Source organism: Homo sapiens, chromosome 2, assembly GCF_000001405.40.
Source record: "Homo sapiens chromosome 2, GRCh38.p14 Primary Assembly".
Classification (NCBI taxonomy): Eukaryota; Metazoa; Chordata; class Mammalia; order Primates; family Hominidae; genus Homo; species Homo sapiens.
Window position 1 is genome coordinate 80,618,601 of NC_000002.12, and position 14,015 is coordinate 80,632,615.

At 37.6% G+C, this 14,015-nt stretch overlaps 1 protein-coding gene across 15 annotated transcripts in view; it reads left to right on the forward strand.

The window, feature by feature from the left end:
* CTNNA2 (catenin alpha 2) overlaps nucleotides 1–14,015 on the forward strand; it is a 1,463,404-nt gene that overhangs the window by 1,433,224 nt on the left and 16,165 nt on the right. For 7 of the 15 annotated variants that reach the window (XM_024452714.2, XM_011532556.3, NM_001282597.3 and 4 more), the window contains one exon: nucleotides 485–628. The exons of 7 other annotated variants lie outside the window; for them this stretch is intronic. In XM_024452714.2, coding sequence (XP_024308482.1) covers nucleotides 485–628 — 144 coding nt within the window. Of the gene's footprint in view, nucleotides 1–484; nucleotides 629–13,471; nucleotides 14,001–14,015 lie in introns of those variants that run through there. One more of the 15 variants, XM_017003405.3, reaches the window with a different exon arrangement.

Here is a 14,015-nt window from a genome sequence, read left to right on the forward strand (position 1 = left end):
AGGACCATGTACAGAGGTTGGATGTGCAGAGGCCAAAGGCTTAAGGAAGGTCACACAGCAGGGCGATGGAACTTCCAAGAAAGACATCAGGGATCCCCACATACCGTTCCAGGCTTTAAGAGCTGCAGCCCTTGCCTTCTCTCTTGGTGATCTTCAACACTTTAAATAGGGGATTCACCCCCTTTGAGCCCCACTATAGTTGTCCCATTCAGTGCCTGACAAGGCAGGGTGCATCTTCATTCTCCTCCCACATGGTTCCTTTATCTGTTCAAGAGCCAATGAGAAATCGAAATGGCCAGGCCGCTTAATGTCAAGAAAGCCCATATGTATATCTCTTTCAGCACGTAATTCCTTCATATACCTCTTTTTTCCCAATTACCCATTCCCTCTTCCACTCCCTAATCCCTTCCCAAGTAGGGTACTTTTTTTTTTTTTCTTTTGCTCTCTCTCTCATTCTCTCTTTTCTGTATCTCTCGGAAATCAGACAGGAGTTCAGAGCACTTTCACTACCTTTTATGAGGTAGATTGTGATGTCATAGATGGGGGCAGGGCTAGTCAACTTTCTACCCACCTCCCAACCTGTGCTGAGGGAGCTCCGATCGGGAGTGGAAGCAGTGATTCCTCCATGGTGAGTAAATTGACTTTCTAATCTAATGTCTTTCATTGTAATCATGAATTCTGAAGGCAGGGGGGATTGGATTTTAGGGAAATAAAAATGTGCCCACTGAAGGCCTCTTAATATTAACCAACTTTGGGCAAAGGACTTATTTATTCTTTATGTGGGTCAGAAATTCCACAGCACAGATATATCTTCAATTGTGGTCTAAACTTGAGAAGTGAAAAAGGTATTTTTATTTCTTTATTTCTCAGTCTTTCTTCCCATTGGGACTGAAAGTCATGGCATATGTGGAATGAATCCATTCTATAGTCTCTTTGTGAGCTTCACTAAGGAAGGGTAGTCAGAAGGATGTATTCTTCTTTGTTTGGAAGATTTCAGGGTCATGAAATATCCTTTACTCATGTTTGCCATGAGAATCAGTGGGCCCTTCTAAAACTGTGGAGGTTAAAATGTGCATGAGGATGATACATGAGGATTATCAACAAATACTTTGGGTGTTAACAAATAAAAGCTTTCTAATGCAGTGACTAAAATGTTCATTTTTTGAAAAAAGTTACAACTCCTGCAAGTTTAAGGTCACAGCCATTTCAAGGTGTCACAGCCAGATTTACTACCCATTTTTGTTGTTGCACGTCCTAACCCTGATGCTGTTTCATAGGGTCTCTTGCTAGTTAAGAGGCATGAAAAGCTGCTATTGTTTCATTTGGGTTTCTATATATTGCTGATTAGTTCTTTTATATGCCTTAGTATTTAGAAAGAAAAGATCAACTGGAGCGGGCACTTTTCTCCACTTCTTTCCTCGTTCTCTCCTGGGTACCTATTAAAACTATCAAGATGCAAGCTTTTGTATAAAAGGGTAAAGGGAGTTCATGGAGGTGGTTGACTTTTTAAGGGATATCAAAGCACTAGGGTGGGTGTTCTTAGAAGGGTTTGACCACCAGAATGTGAAACCCTGTTTTTTTCTTAGGGTGGGATGAAAGCATCCTGGTGTGGATTATGAGTATTATAAAATATATAAAGAGGGTATCATCCCTTTTTTTTTTCCTAAATATACATCCCTGGTTGGCTAGCCATGATGAACATTTGTGTTGGAGAATTGGTTTCGGTTTAAAAATGAAGAGTCCTTTCTGTCTCATCAACGGCTTCTTTGTTATGCATAAATCCCTGACCCCCAAAGTTATACACTTTTATATTTAAAAGCACTACAGCTGATACTGCCCTCTTTAGTACCCTGGGGCTGGGGAATGGGTTTTGAAGTTATTTGATACCTAAGTTTTCTAACCTAAATAAGTGACTATAACAGTAAAGATTTCAGGCCTGATAAAGAAAGGTAGGGCCATAACTGGCCAATAGGAAGATTTTGATGACAGTCCCCTGCAGGCAACTTAATATTGCAATGTGGGCAATAATGCCAGAGTCTTATATGTTGGTTTATCCCTCTTAAGTCTCTGACCTACCTTCCATTAAAAGTACTAGACCCCTGAAACCCAGGTAGAAGCAAACCTTCAGTGACAGAAAAATCTGATGTCTAATCATAGCTCAAGTTTTTAATGTCTTTTATCAACCCCTCATACAGCTGCCAGGTAAGAAATGCTCATATTTTCAAACCCTTGGGACACAATCATCTTTAAACTTCGTGAGTTAAGAACGGTTGTGTTGTGCGCTTGTGCAAATTCAGAGAGTCTATCATGGAATGCATTGTGCATGCACTTATTTATCTTCATGTGCATGTTTCATTTATAGTGATGTTCAGTGTTTTTTAAATTCATTTCGTATGTATTAAAAGTTTAATTTTAAAATACATACATATATTGTGCTCTAAAGGAGACAGTGAAATGGAGTGGAGGTTGCATTAATTTGGGGTCTGAACACTTGCTATGCTAGTTCTATCTCTGCGCTTGACTTGTTAGGTAACTCAAAGCAAATTACTTAGATCTCTCGGGCCTCAGTTTTTCTCATCTGTAAAATGATGGTAGATGATCAAAAAGAGATATTCTAATGCATCCCTGCTCTAAAAATCTATGGTTTTATGGTATATTATTGAAGAAATGGTTTATGAGAAAATGACTGAATAGTTGATGAAATACAGTTTTTATTTTGTACATACAATTATTAAATCCAGAAAAAACATTCAGTTTAAACAAGGTTTTAAAATGTGCTGCCTACCTGATATACTGCTATTTGGTTAATAATAGATGTGGCTGAGCCATTTCTTTTAAATAGACAACGTCATTTGATTAATCTGCTAAATCTAAACCACTTAGAAAGTTATATATAAATTGATACCTGAAGAGAGGCAGAATCCATGATAGGTAGCTACATAATGATTTTGGAAGACCGATTCATGTTTTAACTCCATACCTTTGTGTTATTCTAATTATTGGGGATGTAAAAAACATTTACTAGGTAATAGATGTAGCTGATCTTACTGGGGCTTCAAAGTTTAAAATTACCTATGTAATATTGCAGGAAATCCCAGGTGGTTTTGGAAGGGTTGATAAGTAGGGAATTGGTGAGTATGGAACTATGTACTATGGGGGATAAAAAAGTGTAAAGCCTTGCTCCTGAATTTGAGGAATGTGCAACCTCTTTGAGGAGTCTGTACATGTGCCAAGTGCCGACTTGGAAGTGAATACAGTAAGTGCCAAAATAAATATCCCTGTGGCCTGGGTGGGCTGGATTGCACTGGGGAGTCTTATAAAAAGCTGATACTTTTAGCTAGCTGAGAACAGAACGGTTTAGATGTTTGTGTTATTGTATATAAAAAGGACAGGGAAGCGTTCCAGGTCTTCAAGACCACAGAATTGTAAATGGAGCTGAAGATATATCTTGTGTTCAGACATGACATGTGTCAAAATCAAAATGTATTGCTTACAGTTCAACCTCATACTTTTTCTGAACCCCTTTCCCCTAAATCATATGCTGACTGTACTAGAGGAGATACATGTCTTTGGAAGAATTTAGGAGGCAGCAAGTGAGTGAATTGAGTAATTATAAAGATATAATCAGGCAGGCATTTGGTCAGTTACACAAAACTCCACATGATCACTCACAGCCACAACTATGCAAGAGAAATACATAACAGGCAGAGGAAGGAAAGAGGAAGACTCTAGCTTGGAGATATTCTGGTATTGTGATAAAAGTGGAAAGAGATCATCATTTGGGGGTATCATTAACAGATTTAGAAACGTCAGATGGTGATGGAAATGTCCATCAGCTAATGAGAATCCGTGTAACCAAGATGACTTTATAAAGCAAACAATTTCCTTGGGCACTAAGCAAGAATAACATCAGTTTCTCCATCCTTTAACAGCCAATATTGACAAGGTTTTAACACTAAGTAAAACTGAACATGATTATGCAAGTCTCCTTCCCATATACTCTTGGGAATAGGTTATTGATTTGGGTATGATTTATTCACACTGACGAAGAACACTTAATTTGAAAGCCTCTCTGTTGCTGTAGACTTGCAGAAGATTTGCGGTGGATATTTTGCCTCACGTAGGGAAAACTGTTTTTGTATTTCTTGCCATTCGAGTCTCTTCCAAGTTATTACCTTGGCCATTCTAAAAGACTGGAATTCCACGATTAGAACTGCTTTGTTACCTAGCCCCTTTACCAGATTATAAGAACTTAGTAAGTAAACAAGGACTCAGTTTAGATCACCCAGTGACATGGCTTCTAATTTCCTATTGTGACATCAGAATTAGCTTCTAGAATTTGTTTTCTCAGGAAATCACTTTCAAAGGCTAAATTTTTCTGTTTGGGGATGGTGAAGTAGTATGATCAAAGGTAGTTTAACAAAGCAAGACTACTAGCGCTAGTTTCTAAAAAAAAAAAAAAAAAAAGTTCAAGCAGAAGTTAGATTATGTTTGTTTCAAGAGAAAAATGATGAGGATGACAACTGTTCTCCTTTCTTCCTCCTAAGTGTCTCTGGAGGTCATTTTAGAAATAAAGCATCAGTCAGAGCTATAATTCAACAAATTCATTGAGTATGTAATATGGGATATTCCCTGTTCTACGTATGATGCATTCATAGAATTAGCATGGAAAACAAGCACGTGAACTAGTAACTATGATGATAGTAATCATTTTAAAAGACATATTGTGACCATTTTTGTAGAAAAGGATAAAGGGGTGTAATTTTTTTTGAGCCTTCACACATAACTGAATAGGAGTTTTCCAGGTGGAAGGAGAGGGAGGAATATCTCAGAAAAGAAACGAAACATCCATAACATTGAGGTATATAAGTATTCCAGGATAACTGAAGCTGAAAATGTCAGAGAGGGCTGGAAAGATGGAGAAAAGTAAAAGATGTGAGGTTGGTGTTGGACATCAAAGAAATTCTTCTGACCATGCTGAGTTTAATGAGTAGCATTGAAAATGATCAGGATTATCTGCATGCCAGCTAAGCAAGGGGTTTGGGGGAGACTACTAAAATGCACGATCCTGGGCCATGTTGCAAAAACTTCTTGAATCAGGAATGGTAGGGAGTAGGTTCTTGGAGTCTGTAATTAACTACCCCATCCCACTCCCCAGCACACAACAGGTGATTCATTTTCACACCAAAGTTTTAGAATCCCTGCAAGGCAACAGAACTGACTCATTCTGTTTCTATGTTGTTAGAAGCAGTTTCAGAGTAAAAAATTAAAGTATCATGTTATTAAAAGATTTTGGGAAAAATAGTTTAGGGTAGTATAAGCATATTCTCAAGAAAATTGGTTTAAATTGTGGTTAAGCATGAGAACTAAGAAAGATGGTTATTAAATATAAATAATCAGTGATGCTATTGAATCTCCTTGAAAGTGAGACAAGAAACTGTAAACATTCAAGAGACCATCCTTCATTTTTCTTTGTCATGCTCCAATACAAGGAGTTAATGAAGATTGAAGCTAAGTTGTTCTACATCTTCCAAGTTGTGCCAAGATAAGAGATAGGGGCAATAATCCAGAGTAACATTTGTTTGGGGATGGTATTCTTTTGTAGGGCCATTTGACTTCTTTAATTAAGTGAACTTCCTTGGAAAAAAAACGTGTATGTCAGCATTCTCATCATGACTGGAAGAACCGAACTTTCATGCCCATGCAGTATATGACCTATATGGTCTATGTTGAAAATGTTAATTATGTATGTTTAAATCAATAGTCACTTACAAGTGCTAAATTCTTTGTTGTTTGTTTTTCTTTTTTTCGTGAACAACAGCTGTTACCTTACACCCATCAATCTGTGTAGAAAGTTAGAGAAGTGGTAAAAGACCTAAGGAGAGGGAGATACTAGAAAGGAATTTTACATTTTACTGAGACATGAAAATGAGCCCTGGTTGAGAAGAAAGTGAGTCTTAGTTCACAGCAACAAGGATTGATTCTAATTTAGCCCCCTAATTGCTTTGCATACAACGTATCATTTCCAGATTGCCAGAATCTTCTGTATTTATTTTTTTTATTTGAGAATAGCTTTGTTTGGAAGTCGAGGATTGATGGGGAACCCTATTTTTAATTGTTTTCTGCCGTTAATTTCAGTGTCTTCTCTTGGGTATAGATACTGTCACTTTCTAGAATCAGTTGACTGGTAGGAGGCAGTGCCTGCCATTAAGTGAACAAACTAAGGTTGACGACCTAAGGATATATGTATCTATATCTAGGTATCTAGATATAGATATATGTAGTTAATTTTAGTTCTTACAGATATCTCTTGCCAATGATCTGTGGCTCTGTCATTGCCCTTGTTACACCAACTAAAGCAAATACAACCTTGGGTGGTTCTAAAAAGATGTTCCAGGCAAAATTATTTACCTCAAGGCCTATTCTTTTACCTAAATAAATGCCAAGCAGAGAACAGCAACAGCTATGTGGTTTTGATTGTTACAGATCTGAAGAATATAAGTTAAATAATGTTAAAATTATAAGAGTGATATTGCTATTAGGTGTGAATTTAGAAACCAACTCTCTTGTACAATTGATGAAACTGGGCAACATTCTTAACCTCCCTGGGCTTTTGCTTTTTATTAGAATAGCAATAGCTACTCAGAGGGATAATTGCCCATGGTAAATATCAAAATATCAACAGTTACATTAACATAAACTGAAGGATTAGTATGTGCCAGGCATTGTATGAAGCATTTAAAATGCACTATGAAATATGTTTTTTCAATTGTGCTCTGGAGGAAATACTATCATCCCCATTGAAAATATTAGAATAATGAGGTTCAGAGGAGTTCAGAAACTTCCTGGAGGTCACAAAGTCAGTGTTTGGTACACACTAGTGCTTCAGGAAGACTTCTTTGATATTCTCCAACAGCATGGTGTACTCTTTCTGTCATTTTTTGTATGACACTTAAATGTCATTATATTTCTCTCAACTAGTCTGTAAGCTAGTTATAACAGGGAATATGTTTGAATGCTCATTTTTTTCCCTGGTTCCCTGCATAATGAACACATAATCTATGCTTAACACATTAGCTTCTTTATCATCCTTTCTTCCATTGTAGTGAGTTATCACACCCAAAAAGTCCCAATAATTGATTTTGAAGTCTATCAGTCATTCATACTTTCATTCATTTATTTCTATGTGAAAGCATCTGACTTCAAATGCTAGATTTCGAAATGCACTGTTTAACTAGGATTTGGGGCCAAAAATCAAGTAATTAAATGCAATTATTTTTCTAGTTAACTTAATTTCTTTATAATTTACTCTGTTAAATTTTCAGATATATTAAACCCTTTTTAAGAAAAGATTATGCCATAGAAACCTACAGAATTTTTTCCCAAAAAGCTGAATGAATCAAATTAGTAATTTATTGTAAAAAGAAATTTGAAAGTAACATGGTTGATTTCATTTGCCCCCTTATGCAAAGGTTATGACACACAAATTGTTATATAATTATATATAAATATGAAATATTTTAACTTAAGTCTACTAAATATTTAATGCCCACTATTGTATTAAAAATTTGTATATAGTTTCAACTACAAATGATGAAACATACAACTAGAGTTATTTCTCTCTCACATGGAATACATCTGTCTGTAGTTCAGGGAGAGTAGAGTGAACACAGAGTCATCAAGGACTTTGACACCTCCTAACTTTATGGCCCATCTATTCTCAAGTTCATCTTTTGGTCTAAGATGACTGCTAGTGTTCCACCTTTCCAATTTTCATGTAGGAAGAAGAGGTGAGAGGGTTAAACCAGGTGCTTCCTAGCTATGTTAGTACCCTCTAAGGAGGCTTCCTGGAAACTTCCACCCCTCTGCCCTTCTTCAGTTTCCACTTTCATCACCATACATATGGTTTGCTGCAAGAGAGACTGGTAAACACAATGTTTTAGCTCAGCACATTGCTGCTCTGATTAAGATTGAGATGCCACTAAATAAAGAGAAGGGCAAATGAATATTAGATGAGCAACCAAGACAGGATGCTAAGAATAAGAATTAAATTACCCTTATAAGATTCAATTCGAAGTAAGCAAGAATTTGGGGAATGGAAATCAAAATCTATTCTTTTTTTTAATTATTAGACTTTAAGTTCTGGGGTACATGTGCAGAACGTACAGGTTTGTTACATAGGTATACATATGCCATGGTGGTTTGCTGCACCCATCAACCTGTCATCTACTTTAGATATTTCTCCTAATGCTATCCCTCCCCGAGCCCCCTACCCCCTGACAGGCCCCAGTGTGTGATGTTCCCTTCCCTGTGTCCATGTGTTCTCATTGTTCAACTCCCACTTATGGTGAGAATGTGCGGTGTTTGGTTTTCTGTTCTTGTGTTAGTTTGCTGAGAATGATGGTTTCCAACTTCAACCATGTCCCTGTAAAGGACATGAACTCATTCTTTGTTTATGGCTGCATAGTATTCCATGGTGTATATGTGCCACATTTTCTTAACCCATTCTATCATTGATGGGCATTTGGGTTGGTTCCAAGTCTTTGCTATTGTGAACAGTGCTGCAATAAACATACGTGTGTGTGTGTGTCTTTATAGTAAAATGATTTATAATCCTTTGGGCATTTACCCAGTAATGGGATGGCTAGGTCAAATGGTATTTCTAGTTCTAGATCCTTGAAGAATCGCCACACTGTCTTCCACAATGGTTGAATTAGTTTATAGTTCCACCAACATTGTAAAAGCGTTCCTATTTCTCCACATCCTCTCCAGCATCTGTTGTTTCCTGACTTTTTAATGATCGCCATTCTAACTGGTGTGAGATGGTATCTCATTGTGGCTTTGATTTGCATTTCTCTAATGATCAGTGATGATGAGCATTATTTCATATGTTTGTTGGCTGCATAAATGTCTTCTTTTGAGAAGTGTCTGTTCATATCCTTTGCCCACTTTTTGATGGTTTTTTTCTTCTTGTAAATTTAAGTTCTTTGTAGGTTCTGAATATTAGCCCTTTGTCAGATGGATAGATTGCAAAAATTTTCTCCCATTTTGTAGGTTGCATGTTCACTCTGATGATAGTTTCCTTTGCTGTGCAGAAGTTCATTAGTTTAATTAGATCCCATTTATCTATTTTGGCTTTTGTTGCCTTTGCTTTTTGTGTTTTAGTCATAAAGTCTTTGTCCATGCCTGTGTCCTGAATGGTATTGCCTAGGTTTTCCTCTAGGGTTTTTATGATTTTTAAGTCCTACATTTAAGTCTTTAGTCCATCGTCTCAGCCCCAAATCTCCTTAAGCTGATAAGCAACTTCAGCAAAGTCTCAGGGTACAAAATCAATGTGCAAAAATTGCAAGCATTCCTATTTACCAATAAGAGACAAACAGAGAGCCAAGTCATGAGTGAACTCCCATTCACAATTGCTACAAAGAGAATAAAATACCTAGCAATACAACTTGCAAGGGATATAAAGGACCTCTTCAAGGAGAACTACAAACCACTGCTCAAGGAAACAAGAGAGGACACAAACAAATGGAAAAGCATTCCATGCTCATGGATAGGAAGGATCAATATTGTGAAAATGGCCATCATGCCCAAGGTAGTTTGTAGATTCAATGCTATCCCCATCAAGCTACCATTGACTTTCTTCACAGAATTGGAAAAAAAAACACTTTAAATTTCATGTGGAACCAAAAAAGAGCCCACATAGCCAAGACAATCCTAAGCAAAAAGAACAAAGCTGGAGGCATCACGTTACCTGACTTCAAACTACTACAAGGCTACAGTAACAAAAACAGCATGGTACTGGTACCAAACCAGAGATATCAACCAATGGAACAGAACAGAGGCCTCAGAAATAACACCACACATCTACAACCAGTTTTCCCAACACTATTTATTAATAAATAGTGTTGGGAAAACTGGCTAACCATATGCAGAAAGCTGAAGTTGGATCCCTTCCTTACACCTTACACAAAACCTATTCTTACACCTTATACAAAACCTATTCTTTGTAGTTTTTTGAAACTCAATACTCATATTTAGTTGTTCCGCAAACAGTTTAAAAGGCTTTTTTTTCTACAGTTTTTAGGGAATTAAGATAGGTAACTCCTGCCTACAGCATACCAGCTTTTCTGGGAGGTAGAGGGCTTTGTTTCCCAGTAGCCTTCCCTTGCTGAGTTATACTGGCAGATAGAAGCTGCCAATGAAGGCTTTGAGTGGCACGATGATCCCCATCATATGAGGAATCTGAAAAGCACTGGGAAGAGTTAGGCTTGGGGTGCAGTTCTTGCAAGTGTATGCCCTCCATTGAGTGGAACAAGAACTGAATGCTGACTTTCAGTAGCTGGCTATATGACCTGAGCAAGTTGCCTCACCTCTCTGAGCCCCATTTTCTCAGCTGTAAAGTGAAAATGATATTAGTATCTACTTCATTGAGTTATTGTTAGGATTAATGGTATTGATGTGCACCATACATTGAGCACAGGGTCCAGAATGTAGGTGTACTAAATAAATGAGTAGGTATTTTTTGTTATCTTCTCTCCCCACAAAAGACTATATAGTCTTTTGGATAATATTGGTGCCCTCCGGTTCTTATATCATGTCTACCCCAAGGAAGGTGCTGGACATAACAGCAGTGAGCAACCAACGAATCAAGGTCTCTGCTGTCATCAAGATTGCATTCTTTTGTCACTGGGAGTCCTTGAGGAATCACCGACAGAGAGGGGATAGTTGAAAATACAGAAAGGAATAACCTCAATAGAAGTGAAACAGTGATTGTCACATTTCACTCTGTAAAACGAATCTCATGGGTAGCCAACCAAAATGGAGATTCCTGAAATCCACAGTTCTGAAACTCAGCTCTGAGAAGGGATCAGGAATCTGCATTTTATTCCTAAATCTTTCGGATACAGATGATTCATGGATCACACTTTTAAAAAAACACTGGTCTAGGAAGTGGAGGAAAGAGAAACCTATAGGCTATAGTGAGAATTTCTCCAGACAGTTTAATCCCTTTCCTAGTCCCTTTTCTAGGAAAACTGGGTTTGCTTCTTCAGGCTGGTTCAGTCTAGCCTCGTTTGGATAATTCTTTACTATAGGGAGCTTGTTGTAGTTATCCACTGTAGGATGTTTAAGAACATCTTTGGCTTCTCCCAACTAGATGCCTGTAGCAACTTTTCTTCTCCAGTAGTGATAATCACAAACATCTCCAAACTTTGCTGAACGTATCCTGGAGTGGGTGGCAAAATTACCCCTAGATGAGAACCATAGGACTGGTTGAAATCTTGACCTTTCACCTAGGATAAACATACTGCTTTAAATGGAGCCTTTCAAGTCTTCCCTCTGGAAGGGTGGAAGATGGCAGATAAGATAGTTCCAGATTTAGCTGCCAACCTCGTTTCCAGCCAGGTGTCAGTGGGTGGAGGTACACTTCTCTAAAAGTCAGGCCCCTGAGAGCCCACCACAGTAATCCTCTAGACATAACCTTTCTACAAAGTACAGAGGTCTAGATCTACCTCTTTGCCTGGTTATCCCCAAATCTTCCTGTCTTAGAGCTTATGTATTTCTATTCCCAACGGTAATTAAGGGTTTCAGTGAAAATATTGTCTGAAATAAAAGTTTAAACAAGGTAAAATGGCTTTCACTTCTTACTTTTTACAAACAAGAGTATTGAAGTTAAAACAATTGTTTTCCTACCGCTTTTTTAGAAAACCTTTTCATATGTCATTACATATTTACCTAGTCTCTCTGTCTCTCTGTACATTTTAAAATTTTTGCTCATGCCTGTAATCCCAGCACTTTGGGAGGCCGAGGCGGGTGGATCACAAACTCAAGAGATCAAGACCATACTGGCCAACATGGTAAAACCCCGTCTCTACTAAAAATAAAAAAATTAGCTGGGCATGGTGGGGCATGCCTGTAATCCCAGCTACTTGGGAGACTGAGGCAGGAGAATCGCTTGAACCCAAGAGGTGGAGGTTGCAGTGAGCCGAGATTGCGCCGCTACACTCCAGCCTGGCAACGGAGCAAGACTCCGTCTCAAAAATAAATAAATAAAAATAAATAGTTAAAATAAAATTTTTACATGGTGAGAGAATGAGTAACTACATTTTAAAAAATAAGAAAAAACTAAAGTGATAGTTAAAATAATCATTTTAATAATGTTAAGAACATAAGGCTAAGGATCCCCTTGAGATTCAAATTGCTTCTGTGTTTGTTAATATATATTATGATGATGAGTAACTCTGCCATGTTGAAATTAGTGCTGGGTGAGCCCTTCAAACCAAGCAAGTTGTAGGTAGAAGCTGAAGAAGTTGCATGGCTTAGCATTCGTTTTTTAAAAGAAAATTGGAGAACTGTAACAGGCAGTGACTTCAGATGTAACAGAAATCATGCTTTCTTTCAAAGATATACCTTCGGTATAATTGAAGAATTTTTCCTGGCATTTTTTAATGTATCAGATAAAGGAATAATGATGCAACCTTTACATCTTGTAATAAATATGGAGGTGATTTAACTTTGTCAAAGGCTAGATTCACAGGGACTCTAAGATAGCAATTGTGCCATGAGGAAACTTTCATCTTAATATTAAGCATGATTTTTAGTAGGTACAAGATACTGTATCATACCATCTCCAGCCCTTTAATGTTTATCTTTGTTCCTTGGTTAAAAGTTGTCATCTTATTGGAAGTTAAAGGTAGTACTTTTTTTTCAAAGAAGTTTTCCAATTGCATGAACTTGAGGCTTTCTTTCAAAGAAACCACTAATTTTTTTTTTTTTTTTTTTAGCAACACTATTATGCATTTCCAGTCCGCTGAGGATTCGATTCCTTTAATCTGTTGTTTTGAAAGTTTCTTGTATAACTCAGCCTCGTTGCAAGGGAACAGACAATATGTTGTCCATCCATGGAGGCTCTTTGTTGGACCAAAGAGATGATATTTCCAGTTTTAGATTGAAGGGAACCCTTTGGCGCTTTTGCTGAATTTTCCCTGAAGTACATTCACTCCAGGAGAAACAGACTAGAAGGTTCCAATTAGGCCAAGCCCTGGCAGGCACCTATATGGAGAAGTATCCTGGCTTATTAGGAGAACCACCTTAAATGCCCTTTATTTCATCTTTTATTTAAAGGCAGTTGGAACTGTGGTATATTGATAAATGCACTATACCTGAGGATACAGGTCATGCGCTTGAATCCCTGGTAATTGTCTATTAGCTAGCAAGTTCTTCCTCCCTAAGCCTCAGTTTCCTATCTGTAGAATGATGCGCCTAAAGTGATGTAGTACTTTTTGTTGTTGTTGTTGTTGAGAATTAAGTGATAGTAGCATATAGGAGAGATCTAATTGGTTGGGAGGGTCAATATGTTTTGAATCTGGAAAAAAAATAAAGTATATTAACCAATAGAGAAGTACTAATCAACTTTTATTGATTATTAAATTGATGCATAAGACCACCTGACTGATAAATAATTGATGTTCAGGGGCAGCCTGCACCAAGGAAACATAAGAGAATCCTTCACAGAACAGACCATCCATAATCTCCATTTGTACAGCGAATCCCAGCATGATTTATGTGGTTCTAGCCTTAGTGGAGAACATACCAGCATACCAGTAAAGGTGGGCAAGAAGCTACTTATTCATAAAGACTCAGAAATCTAGCTATGGCAACATGACCCCCCCCACCCCAACACACACACACACACACAGTCTTGGAGGACAATGCAGTAAATAAGTAACTAAAGATTTGATTCCAGAATAAATGGCAACCAGATTTAAGGTGGAATCACCAAGGACAGGCTCATCAATGAGCTGACAGCTCCTATTGTAAGAATGGTCTACCTTCAGTTTTTGGTTGAATTTCTTTGTCTTTTTGTGCTGCACTCCAAAGCCAAATTTGAGGGCCCCAAGCATGTTTCCTGTGTTCTATAGTTTGGAAACTGTATTTCCTGACCATTCTCTGTAACTGGAAAAAAATAAGATCGTAACTAGGCTACCCCACGAGTACTTCAGGTAGAAGAAGAAAAC